Source organism: Homo sapiens, chromosome 7 (assembly GCF_000001405.40).
Source record: "Homo sapiens chromosome 7, GRCh38.p14 Primary Assembly".
NCBI classification, from domain to species: domain Eukaryota; kingdom Metazoa; phylum Chordata; class Mammalia; order Primates; family Hominidae; genus Homo; species Homo sapiens.
Genome location: NC_000007.14, coordinates 82,791,614 through 82,815,053, shown reverse-complemented (window position 1 = coordinate 82,815,053; position 23,440 = coordinate 82,791,614). Strand labels below are relative to the sequence as shown.

The window sequence follows — 23,440 nt, the reverse complement described above, 5'->3', positions numbered from 1 at the left end:
CAAGAAAGCTGAAAACTTGATATTTTTTTCAGTACAAAACACAAAATTAAAAATAAATAGCATGATAAAATGATCTTGACATATGTAATTGTTAAGGTGACTGTCAAAGAAACTGATGCTAATCAGTTTCTTCTCATTTTTCACAGTACTTCATTTCCATGACTGTGGGTCTTGACCAGTAATTCTCACTGATTCCTGGTAGGGGCGGGGGATGTCCCAGAAACCCTTTCAGGGATCTGCAAGGTCAAAATATTCTTGAGAAGATTAACATGTTATTTGCTTTTTTGCTCTCATTTTTTTCTCGAGTGTACAGTGGAGTTTTCCAGCAGCTACATAAGGTGTCATGTTATCATTGCTTTGATGACTAATGGAATATGTGCTTGTTGATTTTTTGTTTTAATGTTTTATTTATTTTGAATATGATAAATATCAGTAGATATAACCTACATAACATAAAGTTCTTTGGATTATTAAATAAGTTCTAAGATAAGACTAAAATATTTAAGCTTGTTGTCCAGCTTAAACATTTAAGTATATTAAATTATAATTTATAAATTATTATAAATTAAATTATGTTGAAGTGTTTAAATATATTTAAGCTTAAAAATATATAAAAGTCACCAACTTAGACTTATGCACAATCATAATTTTTACAATAGTCAAAGACTGAATAACCAAGGACTTCTTCCAAAACATGTTTATCATGTTTGTCTCCAAATTTTCTGTATCTTATATATCTCTTCTATTGCATTTCAGAACCCCTTCTTTCCTTTCTCATTTGATGTTAATTTATAATTATTAAGATTGACAAATGACATTTTTTCAATTTATATAGCAATTTTTTATTTTATTGGGAATGATATAGATTAAATTATATTTACACATCCGTAATTGTTACTTTTTCCTTTTGAAATTTCATAAGTTGCCTATCAGCTTTAATCAAGCTGCTTCCAAGCTGAAGTAGAGTGACAGAAGTGTTATAAAGGTAGAATAAAATTTTTTGTTCTTATCTTGAAAGTAACATTTATAGAAAAACAGTTGTTTATAAATTATCAATTAATTTCATCTTCCATTATCTACATTACTGATCCCATATAGTGGAAATTAATTGTATTGGCATAACAATAGAAAAACTGAAGATTATCACTTTCATTCAAATTTGAGGAAAAATGGAAAGCTTCTTACGAAATACTTGATCCTCAATTTCAAGTATATAATTTGATGAGTTTCAAAATATTTAATGCCAAAAGGATATTTGCAAACGTGCTTATCATTTATGAAAAATATGATCTGAATTACTTTTATTAGGTCATCATTTTTACATACATTTGCTGATATTATTTTTAGTGCAAATAATGTCACAGAACCTCTTCAAGGTGTTGGTGATACTACAGCAAACAAAATAGACAAATATTACTGTCTTCATGAATCTCTCATGCTAGTAATATTTATTGAATAATCAATTTAAAGGTATCTGGAAAAAATTATGAAGAGTCAGAAAAGTGAGTTTTGTCTATCTTCAACTGAGAGGAAAAAGAAAAATGCAATTGGTCACTGATTTACATTTAGGTGCAACCAAACATCATCATGTTTAAAAATATCTGGAAAATATAATTAATTATAATTTATTTGTTCTGCCTCTGGTTCTATCATAACCTGTACAATCCACTGCAATATAACCATCTATATATAGACAGAAAGTATTTTTTAAGGATCTATTTGGAGAAAGATTGATGAAATGATTGTTATAGATTAATAGATCATTAATATAATCTGTTTGGAGAAAGATTAATGACATTAGCTAGAGAGGTTAGGTCTCATGAGACCAGACGTGCATTTATCAAATAACTGTCCAAACTTCCTCTTTACTTCGTGGCCATTGACCAAATTGGAATAATATGAAAACAAACTGGAAATGTGCTCAACCTTTTTCATTTGGGCAAAATTTAATGAATTTTCAAAATGTTCGGATTCCATTTAAGGACAGCATTCTTGTTATCTAAGCAGTCGTGATGTAAGTTCTCACAGTTTCAGGATTATGTAAGAACTTTTTTCAAAATGACTATTTTTAGAATGACTTTTTACTCAAACAAACCTGCATGTTTTACAGTAGTCTTTATTCCTGCTTGAGTTTTTTTTTTCTCCAATTGTCAGTTGGAAATACCTATCTGACAGCCTAATGCAAGTGTAGTGCAAGCAAACAGCAAGAAAGAAAATGCTTCTGCTTCAAAAGAGAATAAAAGGAAGATTGAAAAATTAAAAATCGCCCATGAAAATTTGATGTAGCTCAAAATTGAATGTTTTTTCTTTCACATATGATCCCCCATGCTATTAATCTTTTAAAGATAAAGATCATTATTGTATTTGCATTTTATAGCACCAAACCGGAACTCAGCACTGGATACATTCTTTTTTCATTCTATTTATTCGAACATAGCTGGAATTACGGCCTGAATTTATTAAAGACAAAATGAATTTACTTTCTTAATTTTCATCTATGATAATGTCTTAGTCAAACTTTCTTTCATTATTTACTATACAATTTTAATTCTCACTTAAACTATATTTTAAGTGGTTTCTTCCAAAATCACTTCTGAACTAAAAACCCCTCAAAAAAAGGAAGACCTACTTAAAAGGCAACATTATGATTTCCTTTTAAAAGCAAGGATTATAGTATACGGAGCCAACATGTATTTTTTCATGTAAGAAAAAATTCCTCTATACCGTGCTATTAGTTAAGCTAACTTCATTTTCATTTGTTACATTGTTTTATACGATTACTTCTGTTTCCTGAAGTGATCATTGATCTTATTATCTATAAAGCCAGATAATGAATCATTATAAACAAACTAAATTGTTCATTAAGATGTCATTAAGAATTCAGTCATAAGGCCAATGTGCATGGAGAGAGAAAACTGTGAATATACGAGATTTACCATCTTTCTGGAACACAGCAAATGGAGGCAACCCGTCTTCATCTTCTTCTCTAAAAGGAGCTACTATGTGAATATGACATATCTTAAGGGAAATATTTTTATTTTTATAAGAAAAAAGCCTGCAACATTCCATTTCTCATGACTTGTCATACCTTTATAATAGATATATTGTTTACATATATATATAAAATATATCTGTAATGACTAATAGTCATCTAATAATTTGTCATTTAAAAAAGAAATTGTCAATGACATCCTTCCTTCAACTTCCATGCCTAACGACTTACAAATGACTGATAGAGATATCAGAGTTTCAACACCTGTATTTGTGAAAACTTGTGATTTGGTGGTGTGTGAAAACTACAAATAGCTCTATTGAAGCTAGCCCATTTTTCTAGTGTCCAGTTTGCTTTAGATTTTCCCAAATAGATAATAATTATACTGAAGTAGATTTGGAAAAAAATTAAACTTCTAAATTACTTTTAAGATGCAGTACCTCTTCTTAAACTAGAACCCCTGAACTGTAATAGAAAACATACATGAAGTGTGATTGTACATAATTCAAGGGAAAACATTCCAAATAATGCTGGCACAATGACACTTAAAACCTGAAATTTTCAGGTCCACGTTCAAAAGAAAATTAAAACATGAGATAAAACTGCAAAATCCCTTTAGTAAAAATATCAAAAAACAAAAACAGTAACAGCAATAACAACAGGTAGATGACAGAGACAGGAGGAGGGAAGAAGGAAAGGAAAGAGGGATGGACAGAGAAAGAAACAAAGAAAGAGAGGAGAAAGGTACCTGAAGTAAATACTAGCTAAATTAAAGCTAGCTACAGGGGGTAAAAATTCCCAAATACTTGATTTCTAAAACTGCTAGGTAGTTATTTCCGTTCCATCATTAAGTATTGGAATAAACAAAATTATTGATTGCTTTTTATTTCGGTTAATCTTAAAATTTTAGAGACTGTATCTAGGAAGATATTTACTACTGTATTAACCAAGTAATTTGGGAAAGTACAAGCTACCTACATAATAAATTACTCCTCAGAATATTTGGAAATAGCTCTGTGCTGGACCAAAGATATAAAACCAATAATGGAACATCATAGACAGCAACCTATTTACATTCCAAACACTAATTTTTTGGAATTTAGTAGGATAGGCAGAGACCTTGCCTTTTAAATTTCAGATAACTGGATGTGATATAAAAGTAGTAAAAGTGAAGTCTACAATTTAATCCGTGCTCTCAGAGCAAAGTGCTGCCATCATGTGGTAAGTACAGTGATAGCTTTGCATATTTAAGTACTGTGTGGTAGAGGGAAGAAAAGCCAACAGAGCAAACTAATTGAAGACAGATGTGCAGTCAAAGAGACACTACCGATTTAATTAAGGTTAGCCACAATGGAGTAATAAAACACAATGATGTTGAACCATCTAACAGCCAAAGAAAGTGAAATGGTCAAAGAATAATTTAAAACAGATTGAATTGCATCACAGAAGGTAACATTTGTTTACCTGAAATGCCCCCTCAATTAATTGAGTTACAAAAATGATTCAACGTTCTAAGATTTATTCTTTTAGGGCACAGGACCCTTTCTATGAGTGAGCTGATTCTATCATATATTTATAGCATCCACTCTTTCCTTTACTTGGTACTTAGTAATACACTTAAGATTTCAAAAAGAAAGTAGACACAAAAATGTAATTCATAAAAAATGGCCCCAAAGATGTATCTTATTACTAAGAAAAGCCTCTCAATGTTTATATAAACTTTTTTCATATGTAATACACAGGTGTGTAATACATTCACACATAGTAGGTCCTTGGTTTCTGAAACTCTAATTAAAAGAGTTGGAAGAATAAAGCAGAAGTTGAATATTTCTAAATTTTTGATTTTGAAATTATAAAATTATGGAAGATTATACTTAGTGTGTTTAAAATATTATTTCCCTCAATAACATAAAAAATAGAGATATATTACACTTAAATATAACCCAGAGCTCTCCAACTACCTACATACAAACATGGGATCAGGACAAGTTCTAGAGTCTGTAATAGTGCTGGCTCCCACAGAATGTTACTCTACATATTATTTTCTTTTGTCACTTTCATTTTAAATATATATGTAATATTTGTGATTATGAACTTTTTGAAATTCATAAGCTTATAATCTCTGATGGTTAGTGTATTCTCATTAAATATTTCCTTCAATCAAACCAGTGTTTTGGGAGATTGGGGTTAAAAAATATAGTTGAATGATCACCTTTTTCTATACAGTATGACAGAGTAAAGTTATCTCTGATTTTAAAAGCTAAAAAAAATGACTCCCTAAAGTTTCTTTGACAAAGAACATGGAAAAAAAGCTTCCATATCAAGTGGACTTCTTGTTGAGAAATTTATGATTTGTATAAAACACAAAGCTTGATTTAAAAAGTGAAATTATCTACTAAATCATTCAGATGTTTTGATTGGTTAAAGGAAAGAAGTATTAATGTATTATTATTATTATTACTTATTCATTAAATATTGTTCAAACATGGTTCCGGGACAAGCTTTTAAGGAAGTTACCAAGGAGAAAACATAGGCTTTGCTTCCAATAACGACAGAGTATGTGCTACAAGAGTCCAGACATAGGAGAGGTCACTTCTGAATGGGAGAATGAGGAAAAATGCATGAAGCAGGTGATTTCTGAGCTAGGCCTTTACAGATAACTTTAATTTAGATACAAGAAAGTGATGGGATAAAAGAGAGCTTAGTAAAGTTGGAAAGAAAAAAGCCAAACCAAAGGGAGCCAGAGTGAATGGACTGAGAGGGCTTCCATGTAAAGTGTTTGAAGGAGAATTACAAGAGATATATTTGGAAAGACCAGACCAATAAAAAACTCTTTTGAGAGGCAAAATAAAGAATGTGGTGGAAATTATTAGATGTCTTGAAATTACCTAAGATCCAGCCTCAGATAATAAAGTCCTAAATACACTTTATTTGTTAAAAAAAAGTTTGCCTTTATGCAGATTTAGCTCAATTTAATAGAATTGATGTTTTATTTCTTGAAGTCTGTTTCAAGAGAAAGAAATGAGTAAATACATGTTTCAAGTATCTGGAAAAGATATATTAAAATACGGATTCTTAGAACCAGCTTATCAAAACCTCTCCATTTTTTGTTTTATCACATTTTATGATATGCAGATACAGCCCAGCAAGAAGAAAAGATCTGTTGTGTGTTTTAATTTAATTCATTTTTCAGAAACTAACCAAATGTGAGGCTATATATCTCTGCACTACACTTAGATACCAAGTTAAGAATACAGAATTTAATCCAGCACCGGATGTTTTGTTGTGATAACTCCAAATAACTAGATTCATTTGAATTATTCACCTAATTTCTAACTGCCTAAAATTTCCATAGACAGAACCTTAGATGTAATCATGTTTTGCAGAGATGTTAGACTGATTCCATCATAGGTAAATGTCCCCTGGATTTGGTTTTCTTTTTTAATATTTCTTATAAAATGTTATTTGTTTGCATTTAAAATATTGACAACACTTGCACAGGCTTTCAAAATGAGAATTCTATTCAAAGAGATTGGCAAGATGGAAAAAAAACCTGTCTTTTCTTAAATTTATTTCTAGCTTTGTTTCTTTCTTCTTATTATGCTATTTTATATTCTGTACACATTTCTCAACTTTTCCAGAAGAGGAATAGAACTAAAAATCGCATCAGGTAAAACCAAAGTTGACAAAACAAAGGATGGACGATTTTGAAACATAGATAATAAATCATTTTTATAATGTAGCTATTTTTGTTCATTGTGAGTTTGCTCTTGAATTAAAATTATTTTAATTTAATAAATATAAATTGATTGAATATTAGTGTCTAATAATTAAGGTTTATCTTTGAAAATAGTAAATTGTGATTTTCCAATTGATGAAATTAATGTCTTCCATTCAATGTCATACTAAAAATTATGAATTGGATTATAGAATCCCATCAAAAAGTATGACAGCTTTCTTTTGTTTATAATCAATTGACTAATCTGACTCATTATGTAGGTTATGCATTTTAATCTACTTTATACATGTCCATCATTTTACATCCTACTCACATTACCTTTACATTTTTAAAATTATTCTTTTAAGAAGTTTTTTTTAACACTAACTACACCATCTGGGTTTCTTCTACATAAAATAAAGAAAATATTCAGAAACATAACTATTCTGTTTCCACAAATCCAGTCCTGTGGGTTACTAGCAATTCCTTGATGACTGGTTGTTTAACAGCATTCAGTTCAATTAGTCAATTGTATATCAGATGTCTATAAGTTAGGAACACATTTTCCTAAATAGCCGTTTCTAACTTATACACATCTGATATACAATTGACTAACTATTAACAATTTCTTTCTTGTTCCCTATTCTCGGGAAGGGATCCTACTACCACTGGAATATATATAAAAATTCCTTGTGGCTTTAGAGAACCTGCTACCGACGAAATTGAAAAAGTGAAGAAATGGGGGAAAAGTTAAATCCTTTGCAAGACTTGATCCTAGCTACCCTGAGGGTGGATTTCCTGTCCTCAAATGGTTTCCCACACAATGTTTATGTGTTTCACTTCATGTGGTTATTATATTGGTTAAAATTCCACCAGATTAAGAATAATTGTGTTTTTATACATATCCTTAAGAAATATGTAGATATCTTAGGATCGTGAAATGATTATCAACTGTTCACCCATTAGTATAACTCTATCCAACTGGCTAATAAACTCCTAATGGGATAGGGACGCATTTATGAAGAAAAAAGACTCTAAGTAGAACTGTAGGTTTGAACACATCTAGATTTAGAAGAGAATAGAGTTAAATTCATTGTCAAAGACTATTTAAGCTCAAAGACAGTAAGAAACAGCTGTTGACAGTAAAGCCCTTGAGAAGAGTGGGGATACCTTGAGAAGAGAATAGAGTTAAATTCATTGTCAAAGACTATTTAAGCTCAAAGACAGTAAGAAACAGCTGTTGACAGTAAAGCCCTTGAGAAGAGTGGGGATACCTTGAGAAGAGAATAGAGTTAAATTCATTGTCAAAGACTATTTAAGCTCAAAGACAGTAAGAAACAGCTGTTGACAGTAAAGCCCTTGAGAAGAGTGGGGATACCTTGAGAAGAGAATAGAGTTAAATTCATTGTCAAAGACTATTTAAGCTCAAAGACAGTAAGAAACAGCTGTTGACAGTAAAGCCCATGAGAAGAGTGGTGATGTGGCAAATAATATCACAAGAGGAAGAAGAGTAAGTTACTGGGCTCCTACATATCTCACTCCTCATAATCACAATTTTATGAGGTAGGCATTACTGACTCCCATTGTTTTCAAATGAGAAAAGCAGTGTACAGTTGCTAAAGAGTGGGTTGGGAGTCAAAACCAGATCGGTGTGACCGAAAAGTTCACTCTCTCTGGCGGAAGACAAATATCAACGATTTCAAAAACTTACTAGAGAAACTTCTCCCCAGCAAAATCAGGGAAACACTTGCCTTATCTTCCTTCTTTTTGCATCAAAATTTCTTCTCAAATCTGACAACAATATTAGTACTATACCCCTACTGCATAATTTATTGCACAAATTTGTAATGTCTGTATGGGAATATGGATTCTTATATTCAAATATCAAACTTAGGAAATTCTTGAGACAAGTCTCAATGATAAACTAGGAAATGCCTGAAAAGAAACAAATATCTTTAAATTTTAAAACCTTGCTGGAGATAGTAGGCAGAGGTACATACAAACAAACAGAATTTTCAATCACTTCTTAAAATTCTATTTTGCATTTTTGTTTCTAAGGAGAAAAACAGATTATAGTCTAGTAATAGGAAAAAAATAAGCAATTTTCTTTATCTTGCCATTTCTATCTACCCAAGTCTTTCTAAATTCTTTTCTCCATGAAATAGCCAAAATTCTTTTTATTTACCATATCATTTTTGCAATACTGTACAAAGAAACCACAAAAATAATAATAGTAGCATAGTTACATACTATTTAACTTGGTCTAAAAATTAAATGTGTTTTTCCCTAAAGGTGATTGCTTTTCCTTGATGTCCAATAAAAACAGTAAAATAATTTATTGTTGCCACCATTCATTATCAGTAAAGGAAACGAAAAGGCGGGTTGAAAAATGTAGAGTTCTTCAGTAGCTGTTTCTTGTCACATGTAAATTAAGAAGATGTATAATGATGCATTTGTAGATCAATGTCAGCTTCATTTATTGACTGTGGTGTTGAATCTTCCCACACCATGCAGCAAAGCCTCCCAATCACCGGCCTGCAGAAAGCTCTGTGTCCACCGGCTCCTCGGGCAGCAGCTTTGGCAGTGGGTATAGCGTGGACAGTGAAGGAAGCAGCAGCACTGCAGGGGAGACTAATCTATTTCCTATTCCGAGGATGTAAGTGGGTCTCTTTTTGTTACTACAAAGCTTACTCAGCATCATGAGTAAGGCATTCTCAACAGTTAACAGGAAATAACTGGATAATTACCCAATTCTGAGTCATTGTCCCTGAGACACTTGAACTGTTAATGCCTATGTAAAAATAGATAGTTCAAGAAAGATTGGATAATTCAGTTAATTCTAAGGATAAATGTTAGTCACTGCCAGAACTACTTAATCAATACAATCTGTATTTGATGTTAAAACTGCTAATCACTTAGCCATGCCAGAATAAAGTTCAGCAGGAATACAGTAATGTTTTAATCACATAATGACCAAATACAAACATTACTGGTATTTGAGACAAACATATATTAATTTACCTTGAATCAGGAGATATTTAAACATATTCAAAGAATCCATATATCATATTTGAAATAGAGGACATAGTGAATAATCATACAGACTTTTCAACTATAAATCCTTCTACAATTAACATTGAAGGTTTCGAAGTGTTTCCATACTTTCTAGAACAAAGACCGAGTAGTGCATAGGTCCCTGAGTAGGTACTCTTGGAATAAGAATCACTCATAATGTTAAGCCTCAAAATAAAAAAAAAGTCATTTTGCAAATCAAATGCAAAACTTTAGCATACTTAATGTGTTAGAATCGCCTTGGTCATATTGGTGGCATTTAAGATAAATATGTAGATTATGTCTGTTCCAATAACAAAATCCAAACTTCCTGACTTTTCCTTTTCCTGCCCATTAACTAGTCTTCTGGATTTTGAAAATACCACTGGGCCACCCAGGTCCCAGGGTTTACGCCAGGGCAAAAGCAGTCTACCACCTGGTTTTCTAAGACCTGTGAGCTAAAAATGGCATTTCCATTTTCGAAAGTGTAGGAAAAAACAAAAGAAGTGTGATATTTTGTGACACTTGAAAATTATAGGAAATTGAAATTTCAGTGAATATAAACTAAGTTGTATTGGAACACAACCGTGCCTATTAGCTCTGTGTTGCCTGATGCTGCTTTTGTGCTGCAGGGCAGAATTAAGTCGTTAGAATACAGCCCATCTAAAATATTTACTAACTGGCACGTTGCAGAGCTTGCCAACCCTGAGCTGGGTTGTGAAAGGGTCTTTTTCATTTTCTCCAATGCTAAGTGAAGACTTTTCAGGGGGTGGATTGTCTATTTCTCTTTGTTTTAAAATAAAGGTTCTTATAAATCTTTCCTTCTGATGTCCACAACAATTATAATATTTTGATAATGGTTCAGTTTATAAAAGCAAAGCATTAGTGAAAATAGATTTTTACAGTGAAAAACGAGTTCATTTTGTTGTTTTGAACTACATTTTTTTCAATTTAAATTAAGCAAATTCTTATTGTATCACCTGTCCATCTTAGCTTTCTTTTCTTTTATGAGATTTAGTCTATGGATTCAATAGAGTTATTTGTACTTAATCAGTTATATTTTATTGGAAATTCTTCCTAAAAGAAATCTAATCCCATTGGTCTTTGACTTCTGATGATCCAATTTGACAGAAAAGAATTTCTACAAATTCTTTAAATTTCTTTCTAAGCTGTAAATGTCATGTGAATTTAGAAAGGTTTTAAACCACACATAATTTGTTATCCTTCCAATTTTTCTGCACCTTTCAAAATATATAATTTAACACTGATGGTAAAGTTATAATTCCAAAAAGTAAATATGTCATTTTGTCAATATTTGAATGTCTGCAGTATAAGTAGATTATGTATTTTATATATATACCACATTCTAATTTTGATTTTTCCCATTTTCCTGTTTCTCTTGTAAATCAAAGCTTCTCACAACTGTCTAGGAGACTCTTGCTTTGCCATATGAGCACAACGAATATTTACTTTTGAAAACCATTATAGGATATGTGTAAGAAGTAGTATTTGGCAGTTCTTTTATATCCCCCATTGTATCTAATAAAATTATAGCTTGGGCTAGTAAAAGTGTTTAATAAATATCTAGCGATTATTTAAAAATATAAATTATAAAATGTATAGCCAGAATGTTCTGAGCTAAAGTGTAGTCATTGGGAATTCAGAGAAACCACATCCTTCACACGACTCACAGTTACATTTCCTTTGCACTTAATTTAGCTTCACAATCCTATGAAAGTTTTTTGTATAATCTTCAAAATGTACTTACTACACATATTGGCTAAGTACCTATGTTAAAATCAGTTTCAATTGAAAGCAAAGACTGGCTGGGTATCACCATTAACATATAAAGTCTAAGACTCAAGAACAACCCCAAAAATTATCAAAATGTACTTGTACTACAATTACTAAGACTTACAGTAACTACTTTTTAAAAGTCTGGGATAGTATAAGAATATTTATTTTTTAGTATTCTGATCTACTAGATTACCAATACTAAAAAGACCTGCACTTTCAATAGAGTTTGGCTCAGCAACAAGGTATGTTTTGGTTCACTCTACCAGTGTAGCGTACTGATAAAAGTAAGATTACTGCTATTAAGCTTTTTTTCCCCTCTAATGCTAACAGATAGAGCAGAGTTCTTTTTTTTTTCTTAACTACTTGTCTTGAATCTTGATGAAGCAATTACATAAGCTAAAATTTTGTGTGTTACTTAAATATGTATGCAGATGTTGACCATGCAGACCATGGTTTAACATATATATGGTAAAATGGAAATGTTGGAAATTGCTTAATTTGCATGAACTTGGTCCCTCACATACACACTTAATAAAAATTTGTACTTAAACCTTTAACCTAGAATTATTATAATGGAACAATGTAATGGCTTTTGAGATAAAATAATTTCTGAATTTACATGTGTTCTTTTATTATGTGCGGAAACATTTCAGCACCTTCTCTGAAGTAGAATAAGAGGACCTTTAGAGCAGTTTTCAAGTAAGATATAATTGGATTATTAAGAAATAAATATGGTTACATTTTCAGCAGGTCTAGCAAACCAAATACTTCCTATGAAAGTTATAATTAATTGTTAGTAAATCCCACTATGCTAGAAGTGTTGTCTACAAAGTGCAGTATCAAGATGCTCTTTTGTTCAAGCATCTTTCTGTAACAATTTTTTATTCCATCTTTTTAGAACGCCTTATCTAAGCACATATAAAGGCAAATTCCAAACTTCTTCATGTGCCATGTAGCTTTTTCTCTAGCCGAAGAAATAAGAAGTGGTCTACTGTCCTTTAGCTGTTAAATTATTAACATTCTAAGCTTACAGTCCTCAAAGTATCCTGAATTCTTCATCTAGTTGACTTTCCAAAAAGTTTGAAGCTGAAAACTAAAAGTGATTAGCAGATTTTGGTTGAATTCTAAGGCTACTACGAGCATGCCTACCTGTTAATATGTCATGTTTATTGAATGCTTATTATTTCTCAGGCACTCTGTTAACCCTTTTCACGCATTTTTCATGTGTTTTTTTTCATAATCAAAATGTAGCTAATATTATTATCTTTATATCACAAAAGGAGAAACAGTCTTGACCAGGTACTTTGCCTTACATTACCCATAGCAAGAAATAGCAAAGCCAGAAACAGAGACCAAGCAGCCTGACTACAAAAGCCAGTTTGCTCAACACAGTGGAAAACACAGAAAGGAGTTGAAAAAAAAATACATGAAATAAGAAATATTTTATTAAAATATCATTTTTATATATTATTTAATTCAATATTGCTCTTTTTACCAAAAAAACTGGAATAACTCATCAGTACAACATATAAAAATATAAAGCCCCTTCTCATTGTTGAGTTAGAAATAAATAAAAAATTCTAAAACAAAATTTCTAAATGTCATGATGGTCTTATTTTTTGATAAATAGTCTACAAATAAAAACTACTGAATGTTGAGGTATATTGTTTGGCCTGAATAGGAATAATAAACAAGTTCACATTTTAAAATTATGATATAGAGCAATTAACTGTGTATGTATGTGCCATTCAAATAATTATTGCAAGTCCAAAAATATTCGGTTGTGCAAAAGTAATTGCAGGTTTTGCCATTACTATCAATGTCATTTTATTTATGCAAATTTAGCCTCTTTTGCATTCATGAGATCATAACTGAATATATCATTTTATTTTATTTCTAAACAGAGGGAAGATGGGACAGAATGGACAAGAGCCTGTAAAACAGCCAGGGGTAGGAGTAGGACTAGCAGACACTGAAGGTAAGTAAAAATTTACAATATTGGATTTTGGCTGAATCTGCATTCTACAGTATAAGTGTTTCAGTTGTTTTTCTTTTAACATGAATTTAAATGTTACAAACTAATGGCAAAAGCAATAGGTAGTAAGATATCATTATCTATTAAATGAGAATGACTGTATTCATTTTACAATTCCCCAATTTTCTCATTTGTGTTTAACATTAAAGTAACTTGGGGTACTGAAAAATTAAAAGAGAAAGAAAAATGAGAAGGATGACATGAAAAAGACTCAGAAGACTTTCCCAGGGTGGGAGGGAAATCTTGAACTTAAAAATATAACATATATTTTGTTTAAAATATCATGCAAATAGAAAATCAATCATGGAACCTCATTTAAGTCCATAGAAATTCTTAAATATACGAAGCTGAGAAGAAATTAATGGTGTAAAAATCATTTTACAGAAAAATTAATTGCTAAACTAACTTCTAAAGACAAACCAAATTTAAGTTCAAATTTCGTTTTATTAAACAAATAATAAATTATTACCAAATGTGAAAAATCCTTGACGTCAGCAAACATATAAAAGGAGTATCTATAAGCTTTACGATGACAAGCTTACCTTTCATAATACTGTGATAAAATCTAGTATCCCTGGCTGGGCACGGTGGCTCACGCCTGAAATCCCAGCACTTTGGGAGGCCGAGGTGGGCAGATCACGAGGTCAGGAGTTCGAGACCAACATGGCGAAACCCCATCTCTACTAAAAATACAAAAATTAGACAGTCGTGGTGGCACGCACCTGTAATCCCAGCTACTCAGGAGGCTGAGGCAGGAGAATTGCTTGAATCCAGGAGGCAGAGTTTGCAGTAAGCCCAGATCTCGCCACTGCACTCCAGCCTGGGCGACAGAGGGAGACTCCATCTCAAAAAATAAAATAAATAAAATCTAGTAGCCCTATAGTCCTTCATGTGTCATTCCAACCTCTCTCTATACATTTAACTATTCTAAGTAGTTTATTCTAAGTACTTTTCATGCACTGTCTCATTTAATTCTTACAATTACCTATGAGGTAACTAATAACATATATTGGCTTTATATAAAAGGAAACTGAAGTGCACACATGGAACAAGGACAGAACAAGTGAAAATGACACCAAATGTCACACTATTACCATGATAATGGGTGTGTTATCACAAGAGCACTACATAGGGAAACAGGTTTAGGTTTCAATTCTGGTCTTTATTAGATATGTGACCTAATTTCTCTATCTTCAGAAACCTCATCTGACAAATGCTGGGTCTAAGTGATACCTAGGTTTTCTCAGGGGCTTAAGTGAATGCCACATTTTTCTTGTTCTATTCGAAATTGTAAATTAATCTTTGGACGCCTTCAAAAGCTATGTTTCCTTTATCTCTTGCTATATACTTCAGGGTTCCACCCTCAATCTACCAATCTTTTTACCTACCGTATCTCTGTGTACACTCATGAACTCTCTCTTATATGTTGATTAGTCCCAAACCTGCTGCCCAAACTCCTGGAATTTAGACTCAGTATGTCAGGCATTTGTGTCCAACCAGGAAACTAGAAATGGCTCTGAATATTTGAAATAGAGGAAACAAATGACTAGCAATTGATGATATACTCGTGAAAGAAGCTGAGAAACTAAGTGGGGGATAGTGAAGCAGCAGAAAAATAGCTATTGTCCCCATAAGCTAGAGGACAGCGAGAGCCGAAACCAGGACAAGCCTGCTTTCTGGGAGCAAGAAACATGAAAGAAATTCAGCCAATGCCAGAAATATATCCTGAGACAGACAAGGATGGGGAGAAATATCCTGGTTCTCTCTTCCTCCCATTCTCCAATCTCTGCCAGTGCCTGATCAAAACCAACTGGAAGCCAGTTGACGGAGAGGTCTGGAAAACTGTACAGGGCAGCTACTCTGAGAAGAAAGGAAGGAAGAGACCGAAGAATGCATCTGAGAGCATATAAGTATAGGGCCAGCACAATATTTTACATGGATGCATCAAGCTACGTATGCCCTGCACTTAATTCACCCTCTCCCCAATTTTGCCTCCTTTTCCTACTATGCTCTTAAAACACAGTTGACAGAATTTGCATATTTTATCATTGTTCTTTGATTTAAATTACCTATTTCTATTTTTGTCTCCTCCATAAGGCTGAACAACTCTCAAACCAGAGATAGCGCTTATTCCTCTTGGTATCCCAGCACTTAGCAGACAGCCTTGCCCACAGAGTTGCTTAGAGAATGTTTGTTGAGCAAATGAATAACAAATATGATCATCTATACAATTAGCAGCTATTGATTTTCGTATTAGTCTAGAATTTAGATATATAGTGAAGCAATTCATGCATAGTTTTAGCTACTTAATTTTACCTTTCTTTAATCCTAAAGTTTATAAATAAAATTGTTTTAGTATAAATGTTAACAGCTGTCAATGAACAGAAATTATTCATCCTAATACTGCTTTCTTCTTTCATATCAGTCCCACACAAAACTTGCTTGCTTTCCAAGAAGGAGCCAATCAGAGGCGACTTTATTTTTATTTAAACTTATGAGTCAATATGTTTCCCCTTTAGCGAACTGACCCTGATCAACAGTTGATCTTAGATTAGTTATTGAGCAGAGGGGCGGGGGTTGAGGATGGGAACAAGACAGAATATGTAATATAATGTGAGTTATTTATAGTCAAGTGCCCTTTTGGTAGCAACATTTTGGACAAGTTGTTTTTCACTGAGTTGCTATTAACATTTGACAATAATCAAATTTATAATCTACGTATCTATATGAATTGGGCATGAATCACTATAAGCAAAATATTTTAAAAAGTTAATAATATGGAGAAGAAAACTGCAATAATATTAGACTTTCAGAGGCAATTTTAAATTAGAAAGAATATATAAACAGAGTGAGGAGAAAATGATTAAGAATGTATTTGCTCTATGCAGATAGGAGGACACATCAATGCAAAGTGCAAGATTTTGTTTTGTCCACGTAGAAATATGGAATCAACTTTGTGTTGTACTTGAGATATATGTTTAATCAGTGTTTTGTTTGTTTTGAGTGATCCAAATAATTATCTTTATTTGCCTTTGTTGTCAGTGAACATAAACAGCCAATTTAGCGGGGGAACAAAAACAAACGAGTCAATTCAATTTTTTTTAGACAAAATATATAGTTCTTTTATTGTATTTTTCCTCCATTCAATCCTTCACCAGGACATCAGAAAAACTGTGACTCTGTAGATAAGCACAGTTTTCTTGAAATTATAGATCCTTGAAATGTTCCACTTCATCTCGATTACTTATATTATTCATTTAAGCACTTTGTTTTATGAATACCTTAGTCCACTCTAAGAAATACTCATCTACAAAGATTTGCTTTAGGACAGCATACTTTAATCCAGAGTATATCATAGATTTTAAGTAATCACTTTTAGACGGTTTGTTCACATACAATTTTTATTCTTGTTTTTGCTTTATGGGGTTCAGAATGTAAAAAGTAATGTTTTAGGGAGTTACAATTTCTGTTGAGAATGTCATTGAGTATTTTTAATGTTAAATAGCCATGTTCTTGTTATTCTTATTAAGCAAGTCCATTTATTCTGCTTCTAATTTAAAAACAATAATTTTCCACTTAGTCATTTTCTCTAATAATGTTTTACCTTATTCACAGAAGTTGTTTATGAATTTTAATCCCAGCATGAGATTAGTTCAATGGGTCAGAATGTGAGCCCTATGAAGGGTTCTGGGATTCAACCTAAGTTGTAGTATAAAACAGTAATACTTTTTCAGACTATCTCCACTAATCAATCATTGAATTTCCACAATTTAATTAAGTGCATATGTAAAGCAAAAATAAGTGTTGTATTTGGCATACAGTTAACATCCTTTAAGTTGTAGCTATTATTAAATTAGAAGTATATGTGAGAGTCATTTTGATCCCATCCAAAGAAATGATCATTATTCAGGATTGATAAAATATTGTGCACTTGTTGACAATGAGAGCTATACACGACCACTTTTCTTTAACATTTAAATCAAACCAATTAGACTTTCAAATTGTACAGATGAGTGTTTTCCCAATTTACACTAAAAACATCTAATTACATCCTTTAAGCTAGCTGACCCTTCCATTAGTTAAGATGGATGTATTTAATAGTTATTTTTTGCCAGTGAGCATCCATGTAGTAGCTGCCTTGATCCATTAAGTCTCCTAAACCAGGTGTTTATCATCTTTAAAAAGTATTACAATCACAACTTTCCATGAAGCTTAATTTTCTTGGCTGTATACCTTTGAAGAACAAATACCCCTAATAAATCATTTATTTTCTTAAGTATCTTTATAAAATCCAATTTAGTTTCAGTAAGAATGGAAATTCAGTTTCCAGAACAAATAAATCTCAAACATTCTAGAAATTTGCTAGGCTCTACTCTCAAAGAGAAAATATGAAACCATTATGGAAGATCCTCAATTAGAGTATAATAACAGCTATTATTATAGCATCCAATAATTCACTCCACAAATATGTGACCTTGCTGTCTTATTTTTCCCAATACTTAGGCTACCTTTCTTATATTTCCAAAGTTGATTAGTGCTATATATGAGTGTATCTATTATATGCAAAACACTATATTAAAACTTTGGATCCTACAGAGATCAATTCAGTACATATACTGATCTGAGGGAGCATACTGTCCATCTAGTATGGCTGGTTCTATTTCATCAGCAGCCAGTAAGCATGCTTGCTGAACCAGGTGTGTACAGCCAGGATCCATTCAGATTGGTTGGTGACTGTACCACACCTATTGTATATTTTAACAATCATCCTGAGAAGGGGCTTTAATAACCATGATGCAATGACTAATTACAATAAAAATATATAAGCCAGAGGGAAAATTATATGCTTTGGAATTTCAGCATTGAAAAGCATGGCAGCATCTGTAGAAGTGATGGTGGGGAGCATGGTTTTGTGAAAGAGGTTACAAGTAGTGACTGCTTTGAAAGTTGAACAAGGTCTAGACATGTGGCAATGAATGAGGCCAAGTTCAGACTGAAGAACACCATGAGGAACATCACAGATGGAAGAAAAGATTGGGGGTATATAGAAGAGAAGTTATTCAGTGAAGCTAGAGCAAAGGGTGCAAGGGGAAAGCCTCCTCCTATTTGGGGTGTGATTTCCCTGGACCTTATCACCTTATCACATTTTCCTAAATTACGTGAATCTAAAATCCAGTGTCACTTATTTCTAGTCCTGGATTATTCACTGGGAATTTAAAATTAATGGCATTTACTGCAAAATACCCTATTATTGAAATATTTTTTAAAAATCTGTGTCTTAAATCTAAGCCAGATTCATCTCTGGAGGGTATCGATTGACCACTAAAAAGTTAAATGAATTAAATTTCTGGAAGCGATCTTGGGTATTTCTTCGTCTTAGCACACATCAAAGCATTGTCAATTGCTTGATGAAAGCCCAGAATATTTTAGACTTTCAGAGATTAATATCTGAAATAGTAGTTTTCAATATTTTTTGAAATGTCTTCTTTACCTAGAAGTCTCTGAAATGTTGCACTGGGAGTTGTTGCTCTGATTTACTTATGAGAGAGAGGCTTTTGAATCAAGATAAGAATACTAAAACTTAGCAAATAACACAACGAATATAAGCCAAGAATATTTTCTTAGTATAGATGTAGAAAATTAACAAAAGATGTGTAAATATCACAAATATATAATGTTTATTTTGTTCTAAATGCCTTCACATTGTCTGGTTCATTTGTCACAAGACAGTAGGAGATATAGATATGGAATAATTGAAATAATAATTTCCACCTTATATAGTCAAGAAAACAGAGAACTAGAGCAGTAAAACCATTCAAAGCAGAGTTTTATAGTCAACTTATTAAAAAGAGTTAGAATCTACAGATAGCTAATCTAACATCACCTGACTCTTACCATTGTACTTACCAACATTTTTATTTTGATATTGAAGGTTACAGAGCTATTTCATGAAAAAACATTTTAAATTCATAAGACTATCTTAATTGGTTTGGGCAGGAAAACATCCAATACTTAATGATGATAGGCAATCAACTAATAACACCATTTACATTACAGGTGCTATGTAGCTTGCCAAAATTAAAAATCTTGTTTTATCAGATATTAAAAATTTCTGTATTCAAAACAACATTAAATTACACAAAATAGACAAATAGATAAATGGGCAAATGGATAACTTAACCAGTCCATATATGGTTTTAAAGTAAATGATTATTATAAATTCCAATGGAACAGATATTTCATTCCATAGAAAAAGTTGGTTTATCAAATAGTTCTGCCATAATTTTCTTCAGTAAGAAAAGAAAATTAGACTTCTAGTCATTACCATATACCAAATAATTTTCAGGTTAATTAAGGAGATTAAATTTAAAAATGGAATAATAAAAATGTTTGAAGGAAATCCAAGTAAGATTTGTACAGGCTTAGTGGAATATGAGGGGCAATTTCCTAAGCAAGATAAGAAGCCATAAGGCTTCAAAGAAATAATAAACATTTTTGTCTATAAATAATAATAACACATATAGTAAAATAAACCAAAAATAAAAGCAATGAGCAAATGATAAATAAGATTAAAATATTGTAACTTGTATGATCACTAAATGATCACTATACTAAATAAGGATCTCCCATGTTTTGCTCAAAAAAGGACAAACAAGAACAAACAAGGTCAAAAATTATAAACTGGAGAGCCAGGCGCAGTGGCTCATGTCTCTAGTCCTAGCACTTTGGGAGACCGAGGAGAACAGATTGCTTCAACTCAGGAGTTCAAGGCCAACCTGGGCAACATGGCATAAACCCCGTCTCTACAAAAAATACAAAAATTAGCTGGGCATGGTAGCGCATGCCTGTGGTTCCAGCTGCTAGGGAGGCTAAGATAGGGGGCATCGCTTGAGCCCAGGAGGCAGAGGGTGCAGTGAGCCGAGGTCGTGCCACTGCACTCTAGCCTGGATGACAAAGCAAGACTGTGTCTCAAAAAAAAAAAAAAAAAAAAAAAAAAAAAAGAAAAAAAATTTATGAACTAGCATGTCAGTAACAATGGCTTTTCACTGAAGAGAAATTAGCAATAACAACAAAAAAACTTATAATTATTAAAAAACAATTAAGTGATTAACCTATCAGGCTCAAATTCTAACTAGCAGTAATTCCACAGAAAAGGGAGAGATGAAAAGAAACGTTATTCAAAATACAACACATTTCTTTAAACTAAAGAAAACAAATCTCCACATTAGAAAGACAAGAAATAAATAAACTTGCAGCGTGAGACATCATAATAATTCAGAAAACAGAAAACGTAGAGAAGATGCTAAAGGTTTCTCCAGATAATTAATTAATGTACGTTAACTACAAAGAAGAAAAGATAAGAATTCAAACGATATCTCAACAGCAATAATAGAGGCTTAAAAAGAAAAGGATAATAATTAATGCCTTTGAAATTTTAAATGGAAGGGATTGTAAACTAAAAATCTAACACAAACTATCCATCAAGTGTAAGGGTAAAAGGAAATGATTTTTGAGAAGGCTAAGTACAAACATTTTACTTTCCATGCTACCTATCTCAGGAAGCTCCTTGAAGATATGCTCCACCAAAATAGCGAATTAACCACATAGAAGCATACCCTGACCCCACACACAATACTTTGTGAATCCAGAGACACAAAGAATAGAGGACTTCCATGATGAGATAAGGAGAATCTAAAGACAATAGCCATGCAGCAGGCATAAAGAACACCTGAGAAAATCTTATCAAATATAGAGATATGGAAATCAAATATCAAATGTGGAGATCAAATATCAAATATGAAGAGTTCATTAGCAGTTATTAAAAATCTGAATTTGATTCCCATGTATTTTGGGGTACAGACATTTCTAGTAGCCCAATAAAAAAAATTGGCCCTCCACAGAAACTAGAGAAGTTTAGAGATTAATTCAATACTTCCAGGGCCCTGAAAACCCAATTTCGAATGGCGTTTGTCTCCAGGGAGGTGAACTGGTATACACTGTGACCAAGCACTAGCAGAAGAGCCAGCCTGTAGTTTTGTTTTCTCAACATATGGGTGCAACTGCGGCAGAGTGTCCATCAACTTGGCTGGGACTCAAAACCAGAGCTGATACTGCTTTGCATCTTCACCTGAGCGTCGGCCACACACATAGGTACTACCCTTAAAAACCCCAGGTGGGAAGGTCAAAGCCAGGGATAGCACTGGCATAGAATGTGACTCTTCCTTGTCTTTGACATCTCCACCATAACACGAATTTCAAAAACAAAAATATATGGAGAGTTCTAGGCTGCACGTGGGCAGTGAATGGGGTGCTCATGCAGGAGAGAAGAGCATTGACAAAATTCATGATGTGTCTGGCCAAGTGAAAAATAGTATTGAAAGAGGTGCTCTTGGAAGTGTTGAGAACAGTTAGAGATAGGTACGCAGAAAGCTGAGCGAATTGTAAAAAAAAAAAGCAATTAATAACTTAAGGAAAAAAAGAAAATTAAGTAAAGCTTGCCATATAAGAACCAAATTTTCTCAAAAATGAATATTAAAGAGGCAAGTTAATATAAATTCCAAATGTTAGTTTAACCAAGATCGTAATATATGACAAGGATGAGAAAAGCTAAATCTTCATATACCAAAATTTAAAAAGCCCATATATTATAAAGGCAATACAAAATTATTTTAAGAAATATGAATGTAAAGAACCCAGGAAACAGATTTAAAAAAAATAATTGGCAGTGGGTTTCTCTTAGCAATTTGACTATGAGTTCGGTAAAATAACGGGTTGAGATATGTGAGATGTGAGATTTTATTTTTTTAAAAAAGAAGTCAAAAATATAAAATGGTGGTGGGGTGAGGTGGCTCACCCTGTAATCCCAGCACTTTGGGAGGCTGGAGTGGGCAGATTGCTTGAGTCCAAGAGTTCAAGAGAAGCCTAGGCAACATGACAAAACCCCATCTCTAAAAAAAATACGAAAATTAGCTGGGTGTGGTGGCGCCATGCCTGTGGTCCCAGCTACTTGGGATGCTGAGGAGGGAGTATCGCTTGGGCTCAGGAGGCAGAGGTTACAGTGAGCTGAGATCATGCCACTGCACCCCAGCCTGGATGACAGAGTGAGACCTTGTCAAAAAAAAAAAAGAGCCATAAAATTATTCAACCTTTTGTTATATGAAGAAATGAAAAACAAGCAATAGGAATCAAACTGCATAATAATAAGAAGAAAAAAATGGTATTATTTGAAGTAAATAATTTTCTACCATTCCCCTAAATTATTATGAATATCCATTCTCTTAAAACTCTTCAGTAGTAGGTATTACAATTAAGTACTCTTTTTATCTGACACACTCATTAAAGACCTCCTGATAGCTTCATTGTTGAATAGAGAAAGTTTTTTTCACTTTTAAAAAACCTGACTTTGATGATGTAAAATACAAAATCTCTGGAGGAAAAAAAGTCTATGAAATTCAAAGTTTTTAACTTTTAACTTCTTTTTCCAGTTCACTGAAAGTTTAAAAATAAATTTATAAATGTTCAGGAAGAAAAAATTCAGAATTTTTAAAAATGACAAAATTTATTGAAGATAATTCACTTTCCCACCTTTTAGTTTATTACTTTAATGAAAATTTTTTAAAATTTATTATATCTAGAAAATCCTGGAAGTTTACATAATTTTCTGTATAAGAAAATATTTTATAGGTAAGTAAAAAAGTAAAACTGGAAAAAGAAAAGACCAGCACATTTCAGAAAAGAAGCCCTTGGTCAACCAAGTATTACTTTCCCTTAAGGAACCAGTTTTACAGATAAGAAAGTACTATGGACACGAGATAATAGACTCTGAGGAAAGCACAACACAGCTTGT

The 23,440-nt window shown here is 32.5% G+C and overlaps 1 protein-coding gene across 4 annotated transcripts in view, besides 1 other annotated feature; it reads left to right on the top strand.

The window, feature by feature from the left end:
• PCLO (piccolo presynaptic cytomatrix protein) overlaps window positions 1–23,440 on the top strand; it is a 408,873-nt gene that overhangs the window by 347,831 nt on the left and 37,602 nt on the right. For all 4 annotated transcript variants that reach the window (XM_017012006.3, XM_047420211.1, NM_033026.6 and 1 more), the window contains 2 exons: window positions 9,225–9,366; window positions 13,463–13,536. In XM_017012006.3, coding sequence (XP_016867495.1) covers window positions 9,225–9,366; window positions 13,463–13,536 — 216 coding nt within the window. The remainder of the gene's footprint in view (window positions 1–9,224; window positions 9,367–13,462; window positions 13,537–23,440) is intronic.
• Window positions 8,701–9,900: an enhancer, noted in NCBI's record as "MED14-independent group 3 enhancer chr7:82434470-82435669 (GRCh37/hg19 assembly coordinates)". NCBI's record gives its function as "activates an origin of replication core promoter dependent on BRD2, BRD4, P300/CBP and CDK7 cofactors, and independent of MED14, by STARR-seq in HCT116 cells {active_cell/tissue: HCT116}" and the evidence as "EXISTENCE:reporter gene assay evidence [ECO:0000049][PMID:35650434]".